The 27,694-nt window shown below is 53.7% G+C and overlaps 1 protein-coding gene and 1 long non-coding RNA gene across 10 annotated transcripts, besides 11 other annotated features; one reads left to right on the top strand and one right to left on the bottom strand.

Moving 5' to 3' along the window:
* Positions 655–1,348: an enhancer, noted in NCBI's record as "NANOG-H3K27ac-H3K4me1 hESC enhancer chr7:1185078-1185771 (GRCh37/hg19 assembly coordinates)". NCBI's record gives its function as "activates a minimal SCP1, AML or CMV promoter by ChIP-STARR-seq in primed H9 embryonic stem cells {active_cell/tissue: H9 hESC(primed)}" and the evidence as "EXISTENCE:reporter gene assay evidence [ECO:0000049][PMID:30033119]".
* ZFAND2A (zinc finger AN1-type containing 2A) lies at positions 4,063–15,409 on the bottom strand. Of its 4 annotated transcripts, NM_001365383.1 has the most exons (6): positions 15,177–15,409; positions 13,371–13,470; positions 12,869–12,963; positions 10,666–10,797; positions 8,286–8,437; positions 4,063–7,557 (listed from the first exon to the last, which is right to left on the bottom strand). In NM_001365383.1, exons 2-6 carry the CDS (start codon positions 13,423–13,425, stop codon positions 7,449–7,451), a joined length of 543 nt encoding a protein of 180 aa, NP_001352312.1. In that variant the 5' UTR covers positions 13,426–13,470; positions 15,177–15,409; the 3' UTR covers positions 4,063–7,448. The 4 variants fall into 4 exon arrangements, 3 of the variants coding, with proteins under 3 accessions (NP_001352312.1, NP_001352310.1, NP_872297.2); NR_158186.2 differs by lacking the exon at positions 4,063–7,557 and having other exon boundaries at positions 8,120–8,454; NM_001365381.2 differs by lacking the exon at positions 4,063–7,557 and having other exon boundaries at positions 8,120–8,344.
* Positions 14,511–15,025: an enhancer, noted in NCBI's record as "H3K27ac hESC enhancer chr7:1198934-1199448 (GRCh37/hg19 assembly coordinates)". NCBI's record gives its function as "activates a minimal SCP1, AML or CMV promoter by ChIP-STARR-seq in primed H9 embryonic stem cells {active_cell/tissue: H9 hESC(primed)}" and the evidence as "EXISTENCE:reporter gene assay evidence [ECO:0000049][PMID:30033119]".
* Positions 15,026–15,538: an enhancer, noted in NCBI's record as "H3K27ac hESC enhancer chr7:1199449-1199961 (GRCh37/hg19 assembly coordinates)". NCBI's record gives its function as "activates a minimal SCP1, AML or CMV promoter by ChIP-STARR-seq in naive and primed H9 embryonic stem cells {active_cell/tissue: H9 hESC(naive and primed)}" and the evidence as "EXISTENCE:reporter gene assay evidence [ECO:0000049][PMID:30033119]".
* Positions 15,026–16,052: a biological region, named in NCBI's record as "hESC enhancers GRCh37_chr7:1199449-1199961 and GRCh37_chr7:1199962-1200475".
* Positions 15,348–15,887: a silencer, noted in NCBI's record as "silent region_17846". NCBI's record gives its function as "represses an Ori minimal core promoter by ATAC-STARR-seq in GM12878 lymphoblastoid cells {active_cell/tissue: GM12878}" and the evidence as "EXISTENCE:reporter gene assay evidence [ECO:0000049][PMID:35858748]".
* Positions 15,539–16,052: an enhancer, noted in NCBI's record as "H3K27ac-H3K4me1 hESC enhancer chr7:1199962-1200475 (GRCh37/hg19 assembly coordinates)". NCBI's record gives its function as "activates a minimal SCP1, AML or CMV promoter by ChIP-STARR-seq in primed H9 embryonic stem cells {active_cell/tissue: H9 hESC(primed)}" and the evidence as "EXISTENCE:reporter gene assay evidence [ECO:0000049][PMID:30033119]".
* ZFAND2A-DT (ZFAND2A divergent transcript) lies at positions 15,587–21,171 on the top strand. 6 transcript variants are annotated; one of them, NR_110070.1, is made up of 5 exons: positions 15,998–16,039; positions 17,565–17,756; positions 17,982–18,104; positions 18,665–18,708; positions 19,374–21,171. It is a non-coding gene; the product is annotated as a ZFAND2A divergent transcript (long non-coding RNA). The 6 variants fall into 6 exon arrangements; NR_110065.1 differs by lacking the exons at positions 15,998–16,039; positions 17,565–17,756; positions 17,982–18,104 and adding exons at positions 15,587–15,836; positions 16,577–16,894; NR_110067.1 differs by lacking the exons at positions 15,998–16,039; positions 17,565–17,756; positions 17,982–18,104 and adding exons at positions 15,587–15,836; positions 18,175–18,430.
* Positions 15,898–15,947: a silencer, noted in NCBI's record as "silent region_17847". NCBI's record gives its function as "represses an Ori minimal core promoter by ATAC-STARR-seq in GM12878 lymphoblastoid cells {active_cell/tissue: GM12878}" and the evidence as "EXISTENCE:reporter gene assay evidence [ECO:0000049][PMID:35858748]".
* Positions 16,053–16,565: an enhancer, noted in NCBI's record as "H3K27ac-H3K4me1 hESC enhancer chr7:1200476-1200988 (GRCh37/hg19 assembly coordinates)". NCBI's record gives its function as "activates a minimal SCP1, AML or CMV promoter by ChIP-STARR-seq in naive and primed H9 embryonic stem cells {active_cell/tissue: H9 hESC(naive and primed)}" and the evidence as "EXISTENCE:reporter gene assay evidence [ECO:0000049][PMID:30033119]".
* Positions 24,662–25,637: an enhancer, noted in NCBI's record as "H3K4me1 hESC enhancer chr7:1209085-1210060 (GRCh37/hg19 assembly coordinates)". NCBI's record gives its function as "activates a minimal SCP1, AML or CMV promoter by ChIP-STARR-seq in naive and primed H9 embryonic stem cells {active_cell/tissue: H9 hESC(naive and primed)}" and the evidence as "EXISTENCE:reporter gene assay evidence [ECO:0000049][PMID:30033119]".
* Positions 25,199–25,588: an enhancer, noted in NCBI's record as "active region_25489". NCBI's record gives its function as "activates an Ori minimal core promoter by ATAC-STARR-seq in GM12878 lymphoblastoid cells {active_cell/tissue: GM12878}" and the evidence as "EXISTENCE:reporter gene assay evidence [ECO:0000049][PMID:35858748]".
* Positions 25,638–26,611: an enhancer, noted in NCBI's record as "H3K4me1 hESC enhancer chr7:1210061-1211034 (GRCh37/hg19 assembly coordinates)". NCBI's record gives its function as "activates a minimal SCP1, AML or CMV promoter by ChIP-STARR-seq in primed H9 embryonic stem cells {active_cell/tissue: H9 hESC(primed)}" and the evidence as "EXISTENCE:reporter gene assay evidence [ECO:0000049][PMID:30033119]".

Raw genomic sequence — 27,694 nt, forward strand, 5'->3', positions numbered from 1 at the left:
ACCAACCTGACCAACATGGCAAAACCCCGTCTCTACTAAAAAATACAAAAATTAGCCGGGCGCGATCGCGGGCGCCTGTGATCCCAGCTACTTGGGAGGGGGAGGCTGAGACATGAGAATAGCTTGAACTCAGGAGGCGGAGGTTGCAGTGAGCTGAGATCGTGCCACTGCACTCCAGCCTGGGCAACAGAGTGAGACTCCATCTCAGAAAAAAAAAAGGCAGGGCCAGTGACCTCCACGGTTGACTCTGACACTCCAGCCGGCAGGGCCACGGCCGACTCGCCCGCTCTCAGTGGCACTCTGGGGACACCTTCATTTCCATCAGGTAGGCTTTGGGTTCCATCAACTTTTTTTTTTTGAGAAGGGTCTCGCTCTGTCATCCAGACTGGAGTGCAGTGGCACAGTCATGGTTCACTGCAGCCTTGAGGGCCTGGGCTCAAGCGATCCTCCCACCTCTGTCTCCCGAGTTGGTGGGACTCCAGGCACGCACCACCACACCTGGCTAATTTTTGTATTTTTTGTAGAGACAGGGTTTTGCCACGTGGCCCAGGCTGGTCTTGAACTTCTGGGTTCAAGTGATCCACCCGCCTTGGCCCCCCCAAAGTTTTGGTCTTACAGGCCTGAGCCACCACACCTGGCCTCACTCTTAAGTTTTTTTTTTTTTTTTTTTTTTTTTTTTTTTTTTTAATTAATTTATTTTTTTTTTATTGATCATTCTTGGGTGTTTCTCGCAGAGGGGGATTTGGCAGGGTCATAGGACAATAGTGGAGGGAAGGTCAGCAGATAAACAAGTGAACAAAGGTCTCTGGTTTTCCTAGGCAGAGGACCCTGCGGCCTTGGCCTTCCGCAGTGTTTGTGTCCCTGGGTACTTAAGATTAGGGAGTGGTGATGACTCTTAACGAGCATGCTGCCTTCAAGCATCTGTTTAACAAAGCACATCTTGCACCGCCCTTAATCCATTTAACCCTGAGTGGACACAGCACATGTTTCAGAGAGCACAGGGTTGGGGATAAGGTCACAGATCAACAGGATCCCAAGGCAGAAGAATTTTTCTTAGTACAGAACAAAATGAAAAGTCTCCCATGTCTACTTCTATCCACAGAGACCCGGCAACCATCCGATTTCTCAATTTTTTCCCCACCCTTCCCGCCTTTCTATTCCACAAAACCGCCATTGTCATCATGGCCCATCCCCAATGAGCCGCTGGGCACACCTCCCAGACGGGGTCGTGGCCGGGCAGAGGGGCTCCTCACTTCCCAGTAGGGGCGGCCGGGCAGAAGCGCCCCTCACCTCCCGGATGGGGCGGCTGGCCGGGCGGGGGGCTGACCCCCCCACCACCCTCCCGGACGGGGCGGCTGGCCAGGCAGAGGGGCTCCTCACTTCCCAGTAGGGACGGCCGGGCAGAGGCGCCCCTCACCTCCTGGATAGGGCGGCTGGCTGGGCGGGGGGGCTGTCCCCCCCACCTCCCTCCCGGACGGGGCGGCTGGCCGGGCAGAGGGGTCCTCACTTCCCAGTAGGGGCGGCCGGGCAGAGGCGCCCCTCACCTCCCGGACGGGGCGACTGGCCAGGCGGGGGGCTGATCCCCCCACCTCCCTCCCGGACGGGGCGGCTGGCCAGGCGGGGGGCTGACCCCCCCCACCTCCCTCCCGGACAGGGCGGCTGGCCGACCCCCCCCCCCCCGCCTCCCTCCCGGACGGGGCGGCTGGCCGGGCAGAGGGGCTCCTCACTTTCCAGTAGGGGCGGCCGGGCAGAGGGCCCCTCACCTCCCGGACGGGGCGACTGGCCAGGCGGGGGGCTGATCCCCCCACCTCCCTCCCGGGCGGGGCGGCTGGCCGGGCAGAGGGGCTCCTCACTTCCCAGTAGGGGCGGCCGGGCAGAGGCGCCCCTCACCTCCCGGATGGGGCGGCTGGCCAGGCGGGGGGCTGATCCCCCCAACTCCCTCCCAGACGGGGCGGCTGGCCGGGCGGGGGGCTGACCCCCCACCTCCCTCCCGGACTGGGCGGCTGGCCGGGCGGGGGGCTGACCCCCCCACCTCCCTCCTGGACGGGGCGTCTGGCCGGGCAGAGGGGCTCCTCACTTCCCAGTAGGGGCGGCCGGGCAGAGGAGCCCCTCACCTCCCGGACGGGGCGGCTGGCCGGGCGGGGGGCTGACCCCCCCACCTCCCTCCCGGACGGGGCGGCTGGCCGACCCCCCCCCCCGCCTCCCTCCCGGATGGGGCGGCTGGCCAGGCAGAGGGGCTCCTCACTTCCCAGTAGGGGCGGCCGGGCAGAGGAGCCCCTCACCTCCCGGACGGGGCGGCTGGCCGGGCGGGGGGCTGACCCCCCCCACCTCCCTCCCGGACGGGGTGGCTGCTGGGCGGAGACGCTCCTCACTTCCCAGACGGGGTGGTTGCCGGACGGAGGGGCTCCTCACTTCTCAGACGGGGCGGTTGCCAGGCAGAGGGTTTCCTCACTTCTCAGACGGAGCGGCCGGGCAGAGACGCTCCCCACCTCCCAGACAGGGCTGCGGCCCAGCAGAGGCGCTCCTCACATCCCAGACAGGGCGGCGGGGCAGAGGTGCTCCCCACATCTCAGACGATGGGCGGCCGGGCAGAGACGCTCCTCACTTCCTAGATGGGATGGCGGCGGGGAAGAGGCGCTCCTCGCTTCCCAGATGGGATGGCGGCCAGGCAGAGACGCTCCTCACTTTCCAGACTGGGCAGCCAGGCAGAGGGGCTCCTCACATCCCAGACGATGGGTGGCCAAGCAGAGACGCTCCTCACTTCCCAGACGGGGTGGCGGCCGGGCAGAGGCTGCAATCTCGGCTCTCCGGGAGGCCAAGGCAGGCGGCTGGGAGGTGGTTGCAGCGAGCCGAGATCACGCCACTGCACTCCAGCCTGGGCACCATTGAGCACTGAGTGAACGAGACTCCATCTGCAATCCCGGCACCTCGGGAGGCCGAGGCTGGCGGATCACTCGCGGCTAGGAGCTGGAGACCAGCCCGGCCAACACAGCGAAACCCCGTCTCCACCAAAAAAAAACGAAAACCAGTCAGGCGTGGCGGTGCGCGCCTGCAATCGCAGGCACTCGGCAGGCTGAGGCAGGAGAATCAGGCAGGGAGGTTGCAGTGAGCCGAGATGGCAGCAGTACCGTCCAGCCTTGGCTCGGCATCAGAGGGAGACCGTGGAGGGAGAGGGAGAGGGAGAGGGAGAGGGAGGGGGAGGGAGAGGGAGAGGGAGAGGGAGAGGGAGAGCACTCTTAAGTTTTATACTTCAATACTCCGTCAAATCGAAGACAGAAAACGCAATGCATGAACCAGGCGCCGCCTCTCCCCGCTGAGAAAATGTGCCAGGGCTGTTTGGCCTTTGGTGGGAGAGCTAGACAACGCCATCTAACAGGGACAGCACCGAGCTGACCACCCAGTTTCAAAATTTTGAGCAGTCACAGTAAAACCCAAGTGAAATTCATTTTAATGTTTTATTAACCTAGCATATTCAAAATATTATTTCAACATGTAAATATTTTTTTACTCTTCAGGCCTTGGTTTTATTTGCATTTCTAGAAATATACACACACTTCTAACTCTGTGCTACAAAAATTATACAGCAGTCCCCGTTTATCCTCTGGGGATCTGTTCCAAGCCTCCCAGTGGGTGCCTGGACCCCACTCTACAATAAAGGCAACATGTAAACAATACCTTTAACAGTGAGATATAGATAGATAGATAATTTGGTATTATGTTCAAAGCCCAGTGTGTTTTGGATACTTTTTTTTTTTTGAGACAGAGTCTCACTCCGTGGGCCAGGCTGGAGTGCAACAGCACAATCTGGGCTCACTGCAACCTCTCCCTCCTGGGTTCAAGTGATTCTCCTGATTCCTGAGTAGCTGGGATTACAGGCACCTGCCACCATGCCTGGCTAATTTTTGTATTTTTAGTACAGACAGGGTTCACCATGTTGGCCACGCTGGTCTCGAACCCTGACCTTGTGATCCACCCGCCTCAGCCTCCCAAAGTGCTGGGATTACAGGCGTGAACCATTGCGCCTGGCCTTGTTTTGTTTTTTTTTTTTTTTTTTTTTTTTAATGAGACAGTCTTGCTCTCTGTGACCCAGGCTGGAGTGCAGTGGTGTGATCACAGCTCACTGCAGCCTTGACGTCTCCTGAGTAACTGGGACCACATGCATGCACCATCTGTCTGGCTATTTATTTTTTTTGAGAGACAACGTCTTACTACATTGCCCAGTCCTATCTCAAACATCTGGGCTCAAGCAATCCGCCCACATCAGCCTCCCAAGGTACTGCGATTACGGGCATAAGCCACTGGGCCCGGCTGGATACATCTCAGTTTGGACATTAAATTATCAGAACTTTGTTTCTCAAGACTTTAAAAATTAAAAACATTTTTTCATTAGAACACCTGATCTGCAGATTCACAGTTCACACACCCAGGTTCCTAACGTACCTGTTTTCCACTGACTGAACCAAGTTAGTGGTTTTTAAACTTAACCACACCGAACACTGTGCTGGCTGCGTTTTCCTTGCTCCACAGCACACGAGGCCAGAGGTGCTGCAGACGCAGGGAAGTGGCTTGTCCAAGTGCAGTCCCAGACCAGACGTGTCACCCGGGCAGCTCCAGGTGTAAACCTGAGTCCACCTCAGACCACAGAACCAGGGCCTCGGGGTGGGGTCCAGCACCCTCCCGTAAGGAGCCCTGTGTTTTGACACAGGCTAGGGCTTGGGAACCGCCGGCCTAGGACAGACACCATGAAATAAGCATAGCAACGGTCACATGTCACCCACCGTCAGGGATGTGCACGGCCAGGTGATTGCATTGTCGTGCAAGCATCCTACAGGGACTTACACAGAGCTCGATGGTGCGGCCTCCTCCACACCCAGGCTGTAGGGCATAGCCTGTGGCTCCCAGGCTACAAATGCGTGCAGAGTGCTACTGCGCTGAATGCTGTAGGCCACTGCGGCACGGCGCTGCGTGTTTGTGCTTCCAAACCTAGGCGTGGTGCGGTCCAGCTTGCTGGGAGGATTCCATCCCAGTGTTCTGTGGGACTGCAGGGTGACTAGCTTGTTCTTAAGTTTTTTTTTTTTTTTTTGAGATGGAGTCTTGCTCTATCACCCAGGCTGGAGTGCAATGGCACGATCTCTGCTCACTGCAACCTCTGCCTCCCGGGTTCAAGCGATCCTCTTGCCTCAGCCTCCCAAGTAGCTGGGATTACAGGCATGCACCACCACGCCCGGCTAATTTTTGTATTTTTAGTAGGGACAGGGTTTCATCATGTTGGCCAGGCTGGTCTCAAACTCCTCCAAATACCACAATGTACCCCATCAATATGTACAATTATGTCAATTAAAATAAAAGCAAAAAAGTTTGTCAGATTAAAAAAAAAAGATATAGTGAAAATACAGTATGTTCTGCGATCACCAACATATACACGGTCCGTCATCGACAGAAACATCGTTCCCCTGACTGCAGGTCTGACCACCTTTTTGCAGAACGCCAACAGAATACAAACCCTTCCCGTTACATTTTTAGATGGTGAAAGCAGAAAAAAAAAAGGCAGTGGCTTGTGTTTTTGTGAACTGTCTCAGCGGGACATCTGGTGGGCACAGCTGGATGGCCAGGGCAGTTCAGAACAGGACAGAACTTGGGGGAATTTTGTTTCACCTTATTCCCTGACACCCCCTAAGTTCCCAGGAAATCACTGCACTCTTGATGAGCAGAGCGGCTGTCAGTATAAATCTAACACCAGTATTTACGTTACCCGTGTTCATCACTTCACAAAATCAGACGGTGGTGGAAAGTGTCAGGCCACGAAGGCCGCATCTGTCATCTGAGCCACAAAGGACTGTGCACCTCACTACCCCCCTTCCCTCCCGTTTTGGCTTTCTGCTCTTCAAACCTATAAAACCCAGTCTCCTGTAATCTCTGGCACTTGTGGAAGCCCTAGTTCCTGCCATTGTAGTTTTAAGTCACTTCTGGAAGTTTCCACTGCTTCATCACTGGACAGAGCCATCTTCAACAGGTGGCATTTTGCAACTTTCTTGTTGGTGCTGAAATAGATCCAGGTGCAAAGCAGCTCTCGGGCTTGCTGGCTGCTGACAACTGTGCCTTTTTTTTTTTTTTTTTTGAGATTCAGTCTTGCTCTGTTGCCCAGGCTGGAGTGCAGTGGCACAATCTGGGCTCACTGCAACCTCCGCCTCCCAGGTTCAAGTGATTCTCCTGCCTCAGCCTCCTGAGTAGCTAGGATTACAAGCGTGTACCACCACCACACCTGGCTAATTTTTGTTTTAGTAGACATGGGGTTTCACCATGTTGACCAGGCTGGTCTCAAACTCCTGACCTCAGGTGATCCGCCTGCCTCCGCCTCCCAAAGTGCTGAGATTACAAGCGTGAGCCACTGCGCCTGGCTGAACTGTGCCTGTTTTAAGAAGTTGACCGTGGCAGGGACAAGTGGTCCAGGAAGACACACCTTCTCTCACACAGTGTCCCAGCCCCTTGGAGGTCAGGAACGGGCACGCAGCTGTGCCCTCAAACAATGCGAGTAGCACCTGTGGCCGCCGCTGGACAAGAACCCTCGGCCAGGCAGGTGGATGTCCTTCCCCCTTCTTGGCCAGATAGTCACATCGTTACAGAGGTGACATGGTGAAGAGCGCAAGTGAGCTGTCTGGTGTTTGCTGGTTTTGAACTCCTGACCTTAGGTGATCCACCCACCTTGCCCTCCCAAAGTGCTGAGATTACAGGTGTGAGCCACTACGCCCGGCCTAGTTTGTGTATTTCAGTGGGGAAGTTTCAAGGTTTCAGGCTAACCATCTTCACTAAAATATAAAAGATTAGCCGGGCATGGCAGTTTGGTGCCTGTAATCCCAGCTACTCGGGAGGCTGAGGCAGGAGAATTGCTAGAACCTGGAAGGCAGAGGTGGCAGTGAGCTGAGATTGTGCCACTGCACTCCAGCCTGGGCAATAGAGCAAGACTTCATCCCTTTTAAAAAAAAAAAAGCAAAGCCAGCCAGCATTGAAGCTGGGGATTCCCGTGAAGATGGCCCGGAGGTGCTGCTGGGCCATTAGAAGTATGGGGAGTACCTGAAGGCGGAAGTTACCTAGAGTGGAAATAACCCACACGGCAGTGCAAACGGGAAGGACCTCATCACTTTCCACCAAAAAGAACAAAGAACAGCTCTTTTCAGGTTTGTCTTGATGATGCAGGAATGTTGATCATGTCAGAGGATCTTGGAGGGCAGAAAAGGTGTTTCAGAAACCAGCTGTATGATGCTGCTGCTGCCGAAAGGTTGTGCTGGAGCGAGCTGCTTCTGTAACTTGGGGTCCCAGTCCTGTGTCCTTCATCCATCCTGACGAAGTCGCACCACTGGAGCATCGCGTCACACTGTGCAGTTACACACAGCAACCTTTCCGTGTTCACCAACCAAGAGCTGCAGCACCCCACACAGACGAAATTGCGTTCACATGAGCCGGGTGAACCAGTACCCGAGTCGCTGGGCCAGCCCGCCAGGAGCCAGGGTGAGGAAATCTCCCAACGGCCTGGATTCAGAGACTGTCATGGGTGAGCACCTACAGAGAGGGTGGATGGATCAGCTCAGCCTCCATGTGCTGACCGCAAGAACCCACACAGCTTCCTGCAGGTAAGCAACTACCACTGGCCTGGCCCAGGGATGGACGCCAGACACCACCAGGTGCAACAGTTGAGGCAAATACAGATGCTTCTCGATTTGACAAACATTAGCATTACGAGTTGAATCATGTCCCCACAAGACATGCTGGAGCCCTAGACTCGGGACCTCAGAGTGTGACCTTCTGTGGACACAGGGTCTTTTCAGAGGTCACGACTGTGGGATCACATGACCAGCATCCTTACAAAAAGGGGAAGTCGGGACACACACAGAATGCCATGTGAAGATGAAGGTGGAGACGGGGGTTGTGCATTGACGAGCCCCGAGATGCTGGGGAGACGCAGCCGATGCTCCCCGCAGCCCTCAGAAGGGGCTGGCCCTGCCGACATCCTGCGCCTGGACCTCCAGCCCCCAGAACTGTGAAAGAACCGATTTCTATGGTTTGAGCCACCCAGTTTTTAGTACTTGGTGACGGCAGCAGTGGGCAATGAGAACAACTAGAATCAACTTCAGCATTCAATTTTATTATAGTCCCATCTCCCTCAACAAACAAGATCAGCAGCCAGTGTGGGATGGTGCTCAATGGGGCTCCACTTCCCACTAGAGTGTAAGCTGCTTCCACGCATGCTACTGCGTGCTCCGAGCCATCGCAGCGGAGTCTCTTCTCACCCAGCTTTGATGGTGGGGCGACTCCCGTGTCTGCAGCTGTGGTCCAAAGGGTGTCTGTGCTGGATACAGAAGTTGCCGTGACATTGGGCACATACCATCTGCAGCATCTCTTTCTTCTTGCAGCCCTCTTTTGAGCAACGGTATGTAAAAATCTAAGAGAGCAAAGTGACTTCAACAAGCAATTCTTTTTTTGGAGACAGGGTCTCGCTCTGTTGCCCAGGCTGGAGTGCAGTGGCTTGATCTTGGCTCACTGCAACCTCTGCCTCCTGGACTCAAGTGATTCTCCTGCTTCAGCCTAGTACCTGGTACTACAGGCACACACCGCCACGTCCAGCTAATTTTGTCTATTTTCACAGAGATGGGGTCTTGCCATGCTGCCCAGGCTGGTCTCAAACTCAGCCTCAGGTGATCCTCCCGCCTTGGCCTCCCAAAGTGCTAAGATTACCTGTGTGAGCCACTGTGCTGGCCTTAAATTCTTTAACAGCCTCCGGTAAGAACATTCCCATTTAAACTGGACACAGTTCCTGTCTGCACAGAGTACAGATGCAAAGTTTCATTTGACCATCTCAGTGCAGGTAAGAAGAACATGGGGCTGGACCCAGTGGCTCACGCCTGTCATCCCAGCACTTTGGGAAGCCAAGATGGGTGGATTGCCTGAGCTCAGGAGTTCGAGACAAGCTTGGGCAACATGGTGAAACCCCATCTCCACTAAAATATAAAAGATTAGCCAGGCATGGTGGCGTGGTGCCTGTAATCCCAGCTACTTGGGAGGCTGAGGCAGGAGAATTGCTAGAGGAGGCAGAGGCGGCAGTGAGCTGAGATTGTGCCACTGCACTCCAGCCTGGGCGACAGAGCAAGAGTTCGTCCCTTTAAAAAGAAAGAAAAAAAAAAGCCGGTCAGCATTGAAGCTGGGGATTCCCGTGAAGATGGCCCGGAGGTGCTGCTGGGAGGACAACAGAGAGAGGCAGCCAGGAAGCAGGGAGCGGGAGGGAAGGAGGCCAAGCACAGATGACAGGCAAGCCCCACAGAGGCACTGGCTCCAGGAGCCCTGGGACAGTGGAGGTTGTCCCCATCAAGGGAATATCTATCATGTCCCAGTACCCACCGGTCATTTTTTTTTTTTTTTTTTTTGGTGCCAGGATGTAGGCAGCGATATAAAGTCCTAGGAGTCAGAACTCCAAGAGGGGAAGGCAGTGAGGAGAGTGGGGAGGGTTCCAGCAGCCGGGGGTGGCCCTCCGGCCAAGGCAGGCAGGCATGGCCATGCTGAGCGACCATGCAGGAGGGACCCGTGCAGGGATGCAGGCAGAACACAGGGCGTGCCCACCAAAAGGACAGGAGCACAGCGGGCCAGGAGCAGCCGGGAGGGCATTCCTGTGTGGGGGCCTTGGGGCAGTGCTGGGTGAGCCCCCAGCAAGGGAAGCTGTGTCATGTGGAAGAAGCGGGTGTGCCAGAGAGCTGTGATGTCTCAGAGGCTTAAGAGACCTCCAGAGGCTGAGGGTCCCAGGGCACAGCCACAGCAGGGAGAGCTAGACAGGGCCAGAAAGTGGGGACCAGAGCAAGCTTCCGCACAGAGAATTTTGTGTGGCAGACTAAGGAACACTGATTTTATTCTCTATGTTTGAGACCAAAAGTTATTTGGTTTATGGTAATATAACTGTAAAGTATTGAACATCATATACTAAGATAGTTGGTAACCACCAACCAGGACCCATGACTAGGAACGGATTAAGCCTGACAGCAGCCAGTTCACTAGAGAAGCTCCTTGAGCTGGGCGTGGTGGCTCACACCTATAATCTCAGCACTTTGGGAGGCTGAGGCGGGCAGATCATAAGGTGAGGAGTTCAAGACCAGCCCGGCCAACATAGTGAAACCCTGTCTCTACTAAAAATACAAAAGTTAGCTGGATGTGGTGGCATGCGCCTGTAGTCCCAGCTACTCGGGAGGCTGAGACAGGAGAATCGCTTTAACCCGGGAGGCAGAGGTTGCAATGAGCCGAGACGGCACCATTCACCATGGCACTCCAGCCTGGGTGACAGAGCAAGACTGTCTCAAAACAAACAAACAAACAAACAAACAAATGAAACGCACATGAACAGAATGGATCTAGAAAGCCATGTGAATTCTCCATCTCAGGAGGGAAACTAGTAAATTCCAGTCAAGAAAGACGAACCTGACCTGGGATCCCTCATATTAAAGAACATTTATAAAACTGAAAACTCAGGCCCCTCGCAGTTTAGGACAGGGATAACGCAGCGTTAGGACTCTTCTTTTCTACTTTGTACATAAACTATTGGGAGTAATTTTCAGGTAGCAAACTGACTCTTCCCAAGGAAAAACCAGGCTTCCCAGATGAAGGAACTGAGGCGGGCTCTGTCCTTACCTTCTCTTTCTTCTTCCCAGGGTGAGAGTCACAGTCTCTGTCAATGTGATCACCAACCACCACGTCTGGTATCTGGCCCTTTTTTACTGGGATGGGGGTATTACAGAGTGGGCATACTGGGACGTGAACATCCTAAAAATAACAAAGGTAAGATGGCATCTGAGACTCATGCAACTTAAACTCACAGAAGTTTTAAACGAGTACTCCTGTGCGGCACACTTAAACACAAAGAGAGGACAAAAACCGGTCTCCCGAGCCCTCCGAGAACAAAGCATCACTGGGTCATGGATTAGCGGCAGCCATCTCTAGAATGTGGGCATCAGCTGCCCTGAGGAGTCTAGTGAAGTTTCAACGAATGGACTTCAGCCGACTGCAGAAACCAGCTGGGGCCATCTCAGGCTGGCACCGCCCAGGTGAGAACAGAGCCTGCCCAGACACCTCCACAGGGAGGAGATGGAGGGAAACATGGACCACAAAGACCCTCCAGCTCCCCTCAGTCGCCAACGGCCTGATCCCTTTGCGGTTTCCCCAGTGGCTTCTACGTACACAGAGAGTTGCTTGCGCCCAGATGAGGCCACGTGTACCTAGGGTGAGCTCCCAGGTACTAACGACCGTCACTGGCTGCAGGCCAAGGTTGTGAGGGCTCCAAAGGGGTGGACCGCCCAGCAAGGCTAAAAACCTGAGCTGGGGGCTCCGAAGGGGTGGACTGCCCAGCAGCTGAAGGCCCAGCAAGGCTAAAAACCTGAGCTGGGGGCTCCGAAGGGGTGGACCGCCCAGCAGCTGAAGGCCCAGCAAGGCTAAAAACCTGAGCTGGGGGCTCCGAAGGGGTGGACCGCCCAGCAGCTGAAGGCCCAGCAAGGCTAAAAACCTGAGCTGGGGGCTCCGAAGGGGTGGACCGCCCAGCAGCTGAAGGCCCAGCAAGGCTAAAAACCTGAGCTGGGGGCTCCGAAGGGGTGGACCGCCCAGCAGCTGAAGGCCCAGCAAGGCTAAAAACCTGAGCTGGGGGCTCCGAAGGGGTGGACCGCCCAGCAGCTGAAGGCCCAGCAAGGCTAAAAACCTGAGCTGGGGGCTCCGAAGGGGTGGACCGCCCAGCAGCTGAAGGCCCAGCAAGGCTAAAAACCTGAGCTGGGGGCTCCGAAGGGGTGGACCGCCCAGCAGCTAACGCCCAGCATGGCTAAAAACCTGAGCCAGGGCAGGAATTGATGGAAAGGTCAATGAGAAAACCGAGGTGGCAACCGACATGGAACGGGTGGCAGGTGCTCACGGAATTATGAGCACACCCGTCTACAGCCCGAGCTGGGAGAGTCACAGGTGGTGGTGCTTCCTCATTTGGTCAAATGAAATAAAGTATTAGTAAACGGTCTCCAGCCAGACCCCACCCCATGCTGGGGCAGGAAGGGGCAGTGGGAAGACAAGCTGGGCAGTCTGGCTTAGTCATCCGTGCCTAGTAAACGCAGGGAATGTGAGTCACCCTCCCCACCCACCGTGATGGCCTAAAAATGGCTGGAGGGTCAGACCCTGGCCAACACTGGTCAAAGCACAGAATGCTGGGCCACCCACATTACCACTGCCACCACGGTCAAGTGGCAGAGTTCACTAAAATGACCTGTGACCCATCCAGAGACAAAGTAAACACGGGCTGGGAACCATCTGAAAAGTCAACAACAAGTCTCAAACCTCTGGACTCGGGGCAAGCTCATTTCCTTAGGTCCTCTTTCAGTTTCTGCTGTGTACTCTGGGAGTCACCTAAATACTATGTCAAGGCTGCAGTTATTCAAATCAATAAGCGTATTTACTGCCTTCCTGATTGGCTTCCAAGTCAAATATTAAAATCTTTCTTGCATCTGGTGAAGACACAGCTATGGTGTAACAGCTATGGTGTAACAGATCAAAGGAACCAAGTATTTGAACATCTAAAGTAAGCTTGGAACATAAGGTTACAACTAAGTGACTCCATGAGTCCCTGAAAATAAGATCTCAGTTGTCTGAGAGTCATCCAACAGAATGTCCTGTGAGGGCAGACACGCTCCTCTGTACTGCCTAACAGCAGGCACCTGAAACGAGGCTAGTGGGACTGAAAAACTGGATTTTAAAATTTAATTTTCAATGAGTTAGCCATACGTCGCTAGTCCCTACCATACCAGCAAGACAGTGCAGCTTCAGACGGTGAAGATGAGAATCTTTTGAACAAAGGATCAATTACCTTCTGGAATGCAAACGGACACTTATGTGCAGCGTATGGAAAATGATCTTTACAGAAATCTTGTTTACATGCATCACATTTTACTGGAAGAAAATCTAAAAAACAAAAAACAGGGAAGTGTTTTAACGACTGGAACAAAATACTTCCAGATAGTACTATCAAAGTGTTTACCTACACTAAGTGTTTTAGGCCTATGAGATGGACAGGTCCTCGAGGGCCACACATGTGAAAACAATCCCAGGGTCAGGCTGTCTTCTAGAGACCCCCTATGGCATCGCAAGTATTCCAGCAGCCCCCTGGATCCACCTGGCCCTGCTAGCCAGCCTGCACTCCTGCACCCAGCCTCTGGTGGATGCTAAGTGTCAAACAGAACCTGCACCAGCACAGTTCCCAATACTGAGGAGCCAGGAAGGCCAAGACACAATTATCAGCTAATTAACAGAACAGCCAGCTTTCCCCCAACAAAATACCATTTTCTATTAAGTCTCTTAAAAGTACTCACCTAGCTGCTTGCAAGTCTTTTCTGAACAATGCTTCCCCAAATCAGGAAACTCCATTATGAGAACAGTGCTCAAAACGCAGATGGCGGAGTTAAGTGTCACCTACAAGAGAATCAGAATAGTTAGGAGGAAAGCTGGACTGCCCTTCAGTCACCAGGATTTACAATGTAATTACAGCTAATGAAAGTCAACAAACGCACTGTGTGGGGAGCATTCCATGGAGTTTTAGTACAAATACCAGGTGTCCGCCATTCGTAGTCAACCCCATTAAGAGACACGGACTCCTTCACAGGCCTTTTAATTCCTAGTCTATGAAGCACTCCTTGAACTCGGGTTTCTATTTAAACTCACACTGAGGGGGCGAGAGCTAATTCACACAGCTGCCAGTGATGATTACGACTTTGGTGAATTTTAAGTCACAATTTTATCCATGGAATATACTTGTTCACATAAACAAAACTCTGTTACTAGGTGCTAAATCACATCAGTTGACTCCATTATCCAGAGAAGATTTAACTCTGTCCCTCGCCTCTCTCTTCAACTCCCTTAGGCATTGAATCTTACTGTGAACTTATTCCTCGATGACATCAACCTGGAGTTGATCAGGGAGAAGCGCAAGCTGTTAAGTCACTATGGAAAACAGGCAGACAGCTGGTGAAACTACCGCACTCGAGAGAGAATCAAGGGGCTCACGAGGTCCCCTCCATGATCTAGTACCCACCAGCCCTCCCGGGGCCTTTTCCTGGGGCTCACGAGGTCCCGTCATCTAGTACTCACCAGCCCCTCCCGGGGCCTTTTCCTGACCTTCCCATCAGCTCTCTCCCCACTCCTGGAGGCCTCCTAGACTGTCGCCTAAGACTGGAACACTCTCGCCCATGGCAAACGTCTAGTTATCCCCTCCCGCCTCAGTTTAAAGCCATTCCCACCCTCCCCAGTTCCCTCTATGTTACACGCCCGCTACTTAAGGTGCCCATTAGTCCTTTCCCAGCCCTCCTTCGCCCACAGCTTCCAACTACAGATCCGCTGCTTTACTATTAGCTCCCGGTGCCCGACACACAGCAGGCGTTCCGAAATTGTTTTGTTCAAGGAATTCACAAGAGTTTGATGTGAATCCCCAAATGATTTTGTTCTGGACGCACAGCACCCGTCCTAGGAAACCAACACCCTACCCTGGCGGGCCGGGCCCGCAGCAAGAAAACACACATCTACGTGGCTGTCACTCGGCTGGCGGGTTAACGACCCCGTGCGACCCGGTACTACGGCCCCGATGGCAGGCCCGGCCCCCAGCAGACAGCCGGACTCCCAGCAGACAGGCCGGACCCCCAGCAGCCAGACCCCGGCAGGCCCGGTCCCCAGCAGACAGCCGGACCCCCAACAGCCAGACCCCGGCAGGCCCGGTCCCCAGCAGACAGGCCGGACCCCCAACAGCCAGACCCCGGCAGGCCCGGTCCCCAGCAGACAGGCCGGACCCCCAGCAGCCAGACCCCGGCAGGCCCGGTCCCCAGCAGACAGGCCGGACCCCCAGCAGCCAGACCCCGGCAGGCCCGGTCCCCAGCAGACAGCCGGACCCCCAACAGCCAGACCCCGGCAGGCCCGGTCCCCAGCAGACAGGCCGGACCCCCAGCAGCCAGACCCCGGCAGGCCCGGTCCCCAGCAGACAGGCCGGACCCCCAGCAGCCTGACCTCCAGCAAGCAGCCGGACTTTCAGCAGCCGCACTCCTAGCAGACAGGCCGAACCCCCGAGCAACCTGACCTCAAGGCAGGCCCGACCCCCGGCAGACCCTGTCTGCGCAATCCCGGCCCCGTACCTGGCTCTCGTCGGGGACCCAGGCAGCTGAGGTGAGCAGCAGATGGAAGAGACGTAAACTCAGGTGTCCTCCTCCGTAGTCGGCTCCGGGTAGCTAAGCAGAAAGAACCTCGACACTGGCACCGAGACGCCGTCGGAGGCACACCCACACCCACACCGGAACGCAACATCTCGCTGCCCGCGGCCTACGGGGATTTATCCGCAGCCCCCGGATCTGAGAGCCGTCTGGGCCTTGGGGTTTCCGGGCGCGCCCCGACAACGTCACCCGCAGACCGGCCAATCCCGCCAGGCCGCGGCCCAGTGGCGCCGGCGCACACCGAAGACGACACCAGCCATCCGGCCAATCCCGCCCCGCCGCGCCCCGCAGGCCCGCCCACTCCTCGCTTCTCCACTTCCCTTCTCGAAGTGTCCGGTCGCTTCTCGCAGGCGGCGCGCTTGCTGGGTCACAGTGAGGCGGCTCCGCGCAGGCGCAGCCGGGCGGGCGAGGAGCGGGGAAGCTGACTCAGGGCTGCGGCCGGGGTCCTGCGGGGTAGGAGCGCGAGGCCGGCCTGAGGGAGGAGGCCTAGCGACCCATCCGGCGCCTCCCGCCCCGGGCACCCGCCCGCGGCCGCGCATCCTGCGGGCCCCAGGAGGCCTCCATCTCAAAACAACGTGTTTTTAGGTAATTTCAAACTTAGGGAAAAGCTTCAAGAATAATACCGAAAATGTCAGTGTCCCCAGCACCTAGATCCCCCAGTTAAATCCTTTTCCATTTCACCGCGCTGCCCCCCGCCCCCTGGACGGTTATGTGGCCGCGTGGGGTTGGCTCTGCCCAGGGCCGCGGTCACTGCACAGAACGCCCTGCACGTAAGGGGCTCCGCCTGGGTAAGACCCCGCCCAGCTGGGCAGGAGGAGGGCGTGGGCCCAGGACATGGAGACCAGCCTGGGCAACATAGCGAGACCCCATCTCTGCAGAAATAAAATATTAGCCGGACGGTGCACGGTGGCTCAGGCCTGTAATCCCGGCACTTTGGGAGGCCGAGGTGGGAGGATGGCCTGAGGTTAGTGTCTCACATGTCTGTGTGAAGAGACCACCAAACAGGCTTTGTGTGAGCAACAAGGCTGTTTATTTCACCCGGGTGCAGCCCGGCTGAGTCGGAAAAGAGAGTCAGCAAAGGGCGATGGGATTATCATTAGTTCTTACAGGTTTTGGGATAGACGGTGGAGTTAGGAGCAATGTTTTGCAGGCAGGTGGTGGATCTCATAAGGTACATTCTCAAGGGTGGGGAGAATTACAAAGAACCTTCTTAAGGGTAGAGGAGATTACAAAGTACATTGATCAGTTAGGATGGGGCAGAAACAAATTACAAGGGTGGAATGTCATCAGTTAAGGCTGTTTTCACTTCTTTTGTGGATCTTCAGTTGCTTCAGGCCATCTGGATGTATACATGCAGGTCACTGGGGATATGATGGCTTAGCTTGGGCTCAGAGGCCTGACAGGAGTTCAAGACCAGCCTGGTGAACATGACGAAACCCTGTCTCTACAAAAATAAGAAATGAACGCAGCATGGTGGCATGCACCTGCAGTCCCAGCCTCTTGGGAGGTGGAGGCATAAGTCAGCTGTGAATGCGCCCTGCACTAGAGCCTGGGCAGCAGAGCAGACCCTTCCTCAAACCCAAAAAGCGTCGTGCCAACCAGACCAGATGGTCGCCTAATCAATAGAGACCATGCCCAATCAGGTAAGGACAGACACAACCAGGCATGCTTTTTCTTGTTTTGTTTTTTGTTTGTTGTTTTGAGATGGAGTTTCACTCTTGTTGCCCAGGCTGGAGTGCAGTGGTGTGATCTCGGCTCACCGGAACCACCACCTCCTGGGTTCAAGCGATTCTCCTGCCTCAGTCTCCCAAGTAGCTGGGATTACAGGCATGCACCACCAGGCCCGGCTAATTTTGTATTTTTAGTAGAGACGGGGGTTTCTCCATATTGGTCAGGCTGGTCTCAAACTCCCAACCTCAGGTGATCTGCCTGCCTCGGCCTCCCAAAGTACTGGCATTACAGGCGTGAGCCACTGCGCCCAGCTTGTTGTTTTTCTTTAGACAGTGTCTTCCTCTGTGGCTCAGGCTGAAGGGCACTGGGATGATCACAGCTCACTGCAGCCTCCACCTCCCAGGCTCAAGCCATCCTTCTTCCTCAGGCTCCTGAGTAGCGGGAGCTACAGGCATGCGCCATCATGCCTGGCTAATTTTTGTATTTTTTGTAGATACGGGGTTTTGCTATGTAGCCCAGGCTGGTCTTGAACTCCTGACCTCAGGTGATCCCTCTGCCTCAGCTTCCCAAAGCGCTGGGATTACAGAACATGAGCCACTGTGCCCGGCTTATTGTACAGTCTTTACTCTCGGTTTTCACCAGAGAACTCAAGGGCTGTGAAAAGAGCAGGACCTCACCAGCTGCACGGCGGTGGTGACTGGCTCCATCTTGCTGTCCCTCCCAATCACACAACATCTCCCCTTGAAGGCTCTGCCCAGGCCCGGACTCCCACCTTTCAAGATGTCTGGATCAGTGCAGGACCTCCTCCTTGGCCACATCGCTCTCCTTGGACTGGTTCGTTAACCCTGTTTTACCCACATTTTCTTTTTTTTTCTTTTTCTTTTTTTTTTTTTTTCTGAGACAGAGTTTCATTCTTGTTGCCCAGGCTGGAGTGCAATGACTCGGTCTCGGCTCATTGCAACCTCCGCCTTGCAGGTTCAAGTGATTCTCCCACCTCAGCCTCCCAAGTAGGATTACAGGTACACACCACCACGCACAGCTAATTGTTTTGTATTTTAGGAAGAGATGGGGTTTCATCATGTTAGCCAGGCTGGTCAGGTGATCCATCCGCCTTGGCCTCCCCAAGTGCTGGGATTACAGGCGTGAGGCACTGTGCCCGGCCTGCCCCCCTTTTCTCTTGATGTAAGTGGACATTTTAATCCATAATCTGTAACATTTATGTATTAAGTTTACTACTATCTTTGGTTTGCAGTGTTGACTCACCTGTGGAGTGGTCTGAGCCTGAATGCCCGGGGCTGTGGCCACCGAGTGAACGGGCTGTGCTAAGGGGAATTGCCACCTTGGGAAACCTGTGTAGTTGCGGCTTTTCTGATTAAGTATCAATAAAAGTCTGACCTTGTGAAAAAAGCAAACGTGAGTGGCCCTGCTTATGTTTCACCTTGCGTTGCTCAGTGATAGTTCTGCAAAGTCGCAGGAAACCTGGAATCATCTAATTATCGTGAGTGTTGGTGAGTAACACCCATAGGCACTGGCTCCCGGGGAAATACAGAGTCAGGTTCCTCCGAGCCGCTGGCCACAGCATTTTTGTTAAGCAGTTCATCGTTAACCTTGTTGTACATGTCTCTCTCTCAAGGTTCCTTATTTAATAATGTCTAGTTGATTCATTAACATGGAATTCATGGCCAGTACCTCTGTCACTCATGCCTGACTGAAGTTGATCAGCACGTCTTTTTCTCCCTTAGGCACATGACAGCCTTCTTGCAATCAAGAAACTACGTGTGGCCAGGTACGGTGGCTCACGCATGTAATTCCAGCACTTGGGGAGGCCAAGGCGGGTGGATCACCTGAGGTCAGGAGTTTGAGACCAGCCTGACCAGTATGGTGAAACTCCTTCTCTAGTAAAAATACAGACATTAGCCGGGCATGGTGGTGCACACCTGTAATCCCAGCTACTCGGGAGGCTGCGGCAGGAGAATCTCGGGGGTGGAGGTTGCAGTGAGCTGAGATCGCCCCACTGCACTCCAGCTTGGGCAACAGTGAGACTCCATCTCAAAACAAAACAAAACAAAAAAATTGGCCAGGTGTGGTGGGGGGCGCGGCGCACCTGTAATTCCAGCTGCTCAGGATGTTAAGGCAGAAGAATCGCTTGAACCTGGGAGGTGGAAGTTGCAGTGAGCCTAGATTGTGCCACTACACTCCAGCCTGGTTGACAGAGTGAAGCTCTGTCTCAAAAAAAGAAAAGAAACAATACTAAGTTCTGATTCTCAGACCCCATTCAGTTTTTTTTTGTTGTTGAGACGGAGTCTCGCTCAGTCGCCCAGGCTGGAGTACAGTGGTGCGATCTTGGCTCACTGCAACTTCTGCCTCCTGGGTTCAAGCGATGCTCCTGCCTCAGCCTCCTGCAGATTTTACAGACAGTATCAACAATGTCTCTTTTCCTTTCCGCTCCAGGATCTCATCCACTATCACAGTTTCAGCTTTCCCCAAACTGGAATGTGTCTTTGCAGACGCCCATCCTTATTAAAGGGCAAAGACTTCTCATACACCTAGGATGGATCTTATATTCTTGGCGGGACTGCAGAGAAGGTGCCGTGTCCTGAGTCCTCATGTCAGGGCACAGGCTTCCAGCCAGTTCTACCTGGGTTATGTTTATCTCAATTCCCTGGTGGTATTGGTGTCTGCTGGGTTTTGCCAGAATGAAGACACCGTGTTTTCATTTGTCAGTTGATTCGTATTTTCCAGGAAGACATTCTGAGATTACAGCATTGTCTTAGTCAAGGTGCTGCAGAAGGACAGAACTAATAGGATATATGTACATATGAAAGAAAGTTTATGAAGAACTGGCTCACACCATCACAAGGCAAAGTCCCATGACAGGCCATCTGCAAGCTGAGGAGCGAGGAAGCCAGCAGTGGCTCAGCCGGAGTCCAACAGCCTCAAACGGAATCCAACAGTTCAGGCTTCAGTCTGTGGCCAAATGCCCAGAGACCCCGGAAAGCTACTGGTGTTAGTCCCAGAGCCGGAAGGCCAAAGAACCTGGAGTGTGATGTCCAAGGGCAGGAGGAATGGACAGAAGCATCCAGCATGGGGTAAAGACGAAAGCCAGAAGACTCAGCAAGCTAGCTTACCTACTTTCTTCTGCCTGCCTTGTTCTAGCCGCGCTGGCAGCCGGTTGGAGGGTGCCCACCCCCACTGAGGGTGGATCTTCCTCTCCTAGTCCACTGACTCAAATTTCAGTCTCTCTGGGAGCACCATCACACCAGAAACAATACCAGCCATCTAGCCACCCTTCAGTTCACCATCACAACCATTGTCTTATTCATGAAACTTCTGCAGACCCACCTTAACCTCCATCGGTGACTTCTACCTGAAGCCCTCTGATTGTTGCCCAGTGGTGCTTTTTAAAATAATTTCCATAGTTTCTTCTACACCTTTAGTTGGCATTCTACTGTAAAGGAGAGATTTTATTTTCTTACTCATTTATTTGTTAGTTTATAGTCACCACCATATGGATGCAGAGTTCTGTCTCATTCACTGGGAAGTATTCTATTGCAGTCATGATTTATTTTGATGTTCACATCCCAGAGTTGGTGAGTGAGCGCCCCTTCACGCTGGCTCCCGAGTGCTGACGTGTCCCCGTCCTTCTCTGCACTTTTCCTTACCTCCTGGCCTCAGATATTCCAGGGTCATTTGTTCTCTCCCTGCTCCAACCCTGCAGTCAGCCATCTCCCTAGGGACGTTGGTTCCTTTATGGAAGGTGGCATTTAGAAGCCAGGATTTGGGCTGAGCACTGTGGCTCATGCTTGTAATCCCAGCACTTGGGGAGGCCGAAGTGGGCGGATCGCTGGAGGCCAAGAGTCTGAGACCAGCCTGGCTAACATGGTGAAACCCTTCCCCGTCTCTACTACAAATAAAAAATTAGCTGGGTGTGTTGGCACGTGCCTGTAATCCCAGTTACTCAGGAGGCTGAAGCACCAGAATCTCTTGAACCCAGGAGGCCGAGGTTGCAGTGAGCCAAGATTGCACCACTGCACTACAGCTTGGGTGACAGCGCGAGACACCGTCTCAAAAAGGATAATAATTTAAAAAACAGCAGGATTTGGGTGAGCAGTGCGCTCATTGCTTCTGGGCTCTCTCGGTGGACATAGGCTAGGAATGTAAGATGTATGTGCCTGTGTATATACACACGTCTGTAGCTATGTCTATGTTGCATACATGTGTTTTTCCAAAAACCAAATCCATAACCATGCCTTCAGTTTCAGCCCAACACCTCCGGGCTCTTTCTAGCTTTCTACCTTTCATGATTGTGAATACCTTCTCCAGCAGTGAGAAACCTGGCTCCTTTGTCCTCAGTGGATTTTCTTATTTGCTCAATTTTTTTGTTTTTTGTTTTGTTTTTGTTTTTGAGACAGAGTCTTGTTCTGTCACCCAAGCTGGAGTGCAGTGGCATAATCTCGGCTTACCGCAACCTCTGCCTCCTGGGTTCAAGCGATACTCCTGCGTCAGCATCCCGAGTAGCTGGGATTACAGGCATGTGCCACCATGCCTGGCTAATTTTTGTATTTTTAGTAGAAACGGAGTTTCACCATGTTGGTCAGGCTGGTCTCGAACTCCTGACCTCGTGATCTGGGTGCCTTGGCCTCCCAAAATGCTGGGATTACAGGCGTGAGCCACCACACTCGGCCAAGTCAGAATTTTAAGTTTCATCTTTTTTGTAATTAATTGAACACCTGCATTCAAAGAAACAGAGAAGTACCACCACGCATAAGTAAGGTGGCCATGGCGTACCTAGGTTTCTCAGCCTATCAAGCTTAGGGGCTTCTTTTTACGTGAAGTCCTCCTAAGACAGCCTCTGATAGCTGCCTTGTGGTCAGCAGGGAAGAAGGGCCTTGTAATAGCACGACTCTGCAGGGAGGCGGGCAGCTCTCATGGCCTTAGTTTGCAGACCTCGAGATGTCCACTAGAAAGGAGGAGATCGTGGCTGGCTGCGGTGGCTCACGCCTGTAATCCCAGGATTTTGGGAGGCCGAGGCAGGCGGATCACGGGATCAGGAGATCGAGACCATCCTGGCTAATGTGGTGAAACCCCGTCTCTACTAAAAATACAAAAACTTAGCCGGGCGTGGTGGCGGGCGCCTGAGTCCCAGCCACTCGGGAGGCTGAGGCAGGAGAATGGCGTGAACCCGGGAGGCAGAGCTTGCAGTGAGCCGAGAATTGCGCCACTGCACTCCAGCCTGGGCGACAGAGCGAGACTTCGTCTCAAAAAAAAAAAAAAAAAAAAAAGAGGAGGTCGCAGCGTCTCCAGTAACACATCAACTCCGCAACAAGGGGCCACAAGTGTTCCTCGCCAACGGGTCCCTGCTACGATCCCTATTTTAAATAAGGGGAAACTGAGGCGTGGAGGGGGTAAGAAACAGAGAAGTCAGAATTCAAACCTGGACGACGCCTGTTAGTTTTTTGGGATTACAGGGGTAAGCCACTGTGCCCGGCCACACGTGTTAGTTTTTTGGGATTACAGGGGTAAGCCACTGTGCCCGGCCATGCCTGTTAGTTTTGTAACTCCAGCATTCCTGTCTCTCCTGCATTTGTCAATAGCACTAGTCCTTTGTGGTGAGTTTTTTTTTTTTTTTTTTTTTTTTTTTTGGAGACAGGGTCTTCCTCTATCGCCCAGGAGTGCAATGGTGCGATCTTGGCTCACTGCAACTTCCATCTCCCAGGTTCAAGCAATTCTCCTGCCTCAGCCTCCCGAGTAGCTGGAATTACAAGCACCCACCACCACGTTCAGCTAATTTTTGTGTTTTTGGTAGAGACAGGGTTTTGCCATTTTGGCCAGGCTGGGCTCGAACTCCTGGCCTCAAGAGATCCGACCACCTCGGCCTCCCAAAGTGCTGGGGTTACAGGTGTGACCCACTGCGCCCAGCCTTTTTTTTTTTTTTTTTAATACAGATTGGGTCTTGCTATGTTGACCAGGCTGGTCTAGAACTCCTGGCCTCAAGCGATTTTCCCACCTTGGCCTCCCAAGGTGCTGAGATTACAGGCATGAGCCACCGTGCCCGGCCAGGACCACCCCTTTGGAGTGATACCTCTCCCCAATTTTATGTGGCTCTGGTGGGTCATCCCTCAGTGTCCACTTAACAGTGACAGTGACGTTATGTCCTGCTTTTCCCAGAAGAGTCCCAGGTTATGTTAACTGTTCTAGCAAAATTATTCAGAGCACCCCATTTTCAGTCTCAGAAATGTCTCCATTAGTGTCATGTGAAGTCACCCTAAACGAGGTCAAGAAAATCATCCAGGCTGGGCGTGGTGGCTCATGCCTGTAATCCCAGCACTGTGGGAGGCTGAGGCAGGTGGATCACTTGAGGTCAGGAGTTCGAGGCCAGCCTGCCCAACATGGTGAAACCCCGTCTCTACTAAAAATACAAAAATCAGTCAGGCGTGGTGGTGGCACCTGTAATCCCAGCTACTCGGGAGGCTGAGGCACGAGAATCACTTGAACCCGGGAAGCGGAGGTTGCAGTGAGACCAGATCGTGCCACAGCACTCCAGCCTGGGCAAGAGTGAGACTGTCTCAAAAACAAACAAAAAAACTCCTCTTAGTTCATGCGTGGATTCTGATGCAGGCTTGCAGGGAGACCCTCAGGTGCTGCCCATGAGTAGCTGCGTTGACGGTAGCTGCTTCCTGGCTACCCCGAGGGGCTGCTCTGCAGTCAGGGGAGAGGGGCCGGCTCTCAGGGAAAGGCATCAAGAACCACACTTGAGTTCCTGGATCCGGGCACATCTAAAATTTAGGAGCCCATAAACTCCCGTTTTCACAGAACCTATTTTGAGTTGGGTTCTTGCCACATGCAATCAGAAGTCCTGGCCGACACACAACTTTGGCTTCAGCAGTCTCCCTGGGTGTCCCCACCCCATCCCGTTCCCTGTGTTCAAAGGCGCTTGGGGCCATCCTCCACTGTGAAACTCCCAGACACGCCAGCCCAGCTGCTTCAGGTGTGCGCTGGGAAATTTTCACTCCCTGAATTCCAAAAATGATGGCAGCCTCTGCCTCACCCTCATAAACGCAACGTTTACATTTATTGTCCAGTTGTTTCAGGACGTGGATTTTCTTTGTTTTGCTTTTTTTTTTTTTTTTTTTGAGACAAGAGTTTCACTTTTGTCCCCCAGGCTCGAGTGCAGTGGCGCGATCTTGGCTCACCACAACCTCCACCTCCCAGGTTCAAGCGATTCTCCTGCCTCAGCCTCCTGAGTAGCTGGAACTACAGGCGCTGCCACCACACCTAGCTAATTTTTGTATTTTTAGTAAAGATGGGGTTTCACCATGTTGGCCAGCCTGGTTTGGAACTCCTGGCCTCAGGTGATCCGCCCGCCTTGGCCTCCCAAAGTGCTGGGATTACAGGTGTGAGCCACCGCGCCCAGCCCTTTTTTCTGTCTGAGAACAAGAAGACAGTAAGCTCTGGGGAAAAAACAGGACCCACCTTCATCTTTCTTATCTTTGCTGTGCACTTCTTACAAATATTTGCTGAGGCTGTGAATTATAATTGCAAAAGTAGAATCCACTGTGTCCAAGCAGAAGAGAGGGTGTCATGGGGAGCGGGCAGTGGGGAGTCACCTGTCTGCCAGGCTGGACGGGTGAACACATTCATCATCTTTAGGCATGCGAGCTTCTCCTACCTCTATCCATCCTTCCTTCAGCCCATTTCCCCCGACTTCTGCCACCACCTCCGGGACGTCCTGAAGGCGAACCGGCCTCCCACCTGCTAAGTCCAACAGACACTTCAGCCTGGCTCTCACCAGCCATGGCGGGTTGCCCTCCTACCTCTTGACAACACGCTCTTCCTCGGCTGCAGAGACACCTCCTCTCCGTATTTTCCTCCCACATTAGCAATGACCACACTCAGGCTATGTCACTCATGGTATTTTTGCATCAGAAATGCCATCCTTGGGCCGGGCGCCATGCCTCATGCCTGTAATCCCAGCGCTTTGAGAGGCCGAGCCGGGTGGATCCCTTGAGGCCAGGAGTTCAAAAACGGCCTGGGCAACATAGCAAGACCCTGTCTCTACAAAAAGAAACAGTTTTTAAGTCATTCCTGATTTTACAACGCTACTCTGATCTGAGCCCCTGTGGCCTCGGGATCCCCAGGCGTCTGTTCCCGAGAACGCGGGGCAGAAAGCCTAGTCCTGCACGCAGTACCAACAATGCGGAGTCAGCGGGTTGTTTCGACTTTGTTCTGTTTCCTGAGGGGTTCTGAATAAGGGCCACCCCCTTCCTCCTCTGTGCCGCCATGTTCCCTCCCGGCCACGCCCCCTTGCAACCCCTCCAATCTCCGCCCTGCACCCTGGCAGCTCCCCCTGGCGGCAGCAGCGGGTCTTCGTGGAGTCAGCCCCTCCGCTGCTTGGCCGCTGGGTTTGTCCCTTATTTTAATGGATGCGCGTTGGCTAGGACTGCAACATTGTTTCTTTCTTCCACAAATTTTAGTTTGAAACAGACAGGAAGTTAATTTCCCGTCTGGCTGCCACACCTGCTGGTGGCGTGGACTGCGGCCCTTAGGCTGTTCCTTGCTCGATTTAACCCTGGGAGACATCGAAGCCTTCCCACCCAAGCTGTAGGGAGCTGTTGAAGACCTGGTTCACACGAGATCCTTTGCGGGGTGCAGCTGGGGAAAGCATGATTTCAGCTTGTAAGCTGCATGGAGAATGCAAATGTATGTGTGTGTGTATATATATATGTGTATATATATATATATATATATATATATATATATATATATACTTTTTTTTCTTTTCTTTTTTTTTCTTTTTTTTTTTTTGGAGACAGAGTGTCCCTCTGTTGCCAGGCTGGAGTGCAGTGGCACGATCTCGGCTCACTGCAACCTCCTCCTCCCAGGTTCAAGCGATTCTCCTGCCTCAGCCTCCCAAGTAGCTGGGACTAGAGGTGCACGCCACCATGCCCGGCTAATTTTTGTATTTTTAGTAGAGACAGACTTTCACCACATTGGCCAGGCTGGTCTCGAACTCCTGACGATGTGATCCATCCGCCTCAGCCTCCCAAAGTGCTGGGATTACAAGCGTGAGCCACTGTGCCCGGCCAATGTATATATTTTTTCAAGACAGCTCAACCCAAAGTAGCACCAGCATGGACAGGCCGAGTGACGAAGACAGTGCTGGAGGCACACAGAGGCTGTGGGGGCAAGTATGCGGCCGGCTGGACCTGCGGGGACCCTGCCCGTGGCTGGAAAGGGGACCAGGGGGTCCCTGGGAAACACAGGGCTCTGACCTCTGTGCAGGGTGAGGAAGGGTTTTACCAGCAGAGGGAGAGCTCAGCCCAGGCCCGAAGTCAGCACGACGAGCAGCTGACCCCTGGGATCTTTGAGGAACCTGAAAGTGCTTGATGGTCTTTGTGAATCTGAAATCCGAGCGAAGCGTCAGACCCTCGAGTTTCCCCAGGGGAACTCCGTTAGTCTCCTGGGATTTGATGTATTCACGCTTTGTTCCTTCTGGACCAGTCACGCCCCACGCCAATCTGAGCCGTCGGGGGTTGGCCCTTCCAGGATGCTGTGATTAGGTCTAGGGAATTCCACCTGGAGGGAAGGGTGGGCTGTGTCCTAGGGAATTCCACCTGGAGGGAAGGGTGGGCTGCGTCCTCGGGAGGGAGACAGCAGGTGGCAGGCTTCGGCCTCCCAGGCAGCCCTATTGAAAAGTGAAGCCACCTGGACTTCCTGGGTCAAGTGGGGACTGGGACAACTTTTCTATCTAGCAAGAGGATTGTAAAATGCACCAATCAGCGCTCTGTAAAATGCACCAATCAGCACTCTGTAAAATGCACCAATCAGCACTCTGTAAAATGCACCAATCAGTGCTCTGTAAAATGCACCAATCAGCACTCTGTAAAAATGCACCAATCAGCGCTCTGTAAAATGCACCAATCAGCACTCTGTAAAATGCACCAATCAGTGCTCTGTAAAATGCACCAATCAGTGCTCTGTAAAATGCACCAATCAGTGCTCTGTAAAATGCACCAATCAGCAGGATTCTAAAAGTAGTCAATCGCAGAGAGGATTGAAAAAAGGGCACTCTGATAGGACAGAAATGGAACATGGGCGGGGCCAATAAGGGAATAAAAGCTGGCTGCCACCAACCACCCCCGCCCCCCCCCCCCACCTCTAGCCAGCAGTGGCAACGTGTTCGGGTCCTCGTCTATGCTGTGAAAGCTTTATCCTTTCTCTCTTCACAATAAACCTTGCTACTGTTCACTTTTTGGGTCCGTGCCATCTTTAAGAGCTGTTAACACTCACCGCGAAGGTCCCTAGCTCCATTATCGAAGTCAGGGAGACAACGAACCCACCAGCAGGAACCACCTCCGGACACACTATGTCCCTGCATCCCCGAAGCTCCCGCTACTCCCTGGAATATTCTTTGAAAAGGGTCCCTGTGTCCTTTTTTGCCAGCAACAGAAACTCTAAAAACAGCCACCATTATAGCAATCAATTACCAAACTCTTCTGCTGAGGCCAGGCAGAAAGCAAAGCACAACGGACCTTACCAGGAGGCCCCGCCGCTCCTGTCCAGCCCCTGCCCACTCACTCAGGTGCTCATCACCCCCAGGAGGCTCCACTGCTCCTGTCCAGCCTCTACCCACTCTCTCAGGTGTCCATCACTTCCAGGAGGCTTTGCGCTCCTGTCCAGCCCCTGCCCACTCACTCAGGTGCTCATCACCCCCAGGAGGGCCCCCCTCCCTGCCCAGCTTCCCCCTACTCACTCAGGTGCTCATCACCCCC

Source organism: Homo sapiens, chromosome 7 (genome assembly GCF_000001405.40).
Source record: "Homo sapiens chromosome 7, GRCh38.p14 Primary Assembly".
NCBI lineage: Eukaryota > Metazoa > Chordata > Mammalia > Primates > Hominidae > Homo > Homo sapiens.

Coding starts and splice junctions, on each gene's coding strand:
- ZFAND2A (NM_001365383.1), bottom strand. CDS start 13,425: ATGGAGTTTCCTGATTTGGGGAAGCATTGTTCAGAAAAGACTTGCAAG. Junction 12,964..13,370: donor AAAGACTTGCAAGCAGCTAG/GTGAGTACTTTT, acceptor TTTGTTTTTTAG/ATTTTCTTCCAGTAAAATGT. Junction 8,438..10,665: donor CTGGGAAGAAGAAAGAGAAG/GTAAGGACAGAG, acceptor TTGCTCTCTTAG/ATTTTTACATACCGTTGCTC.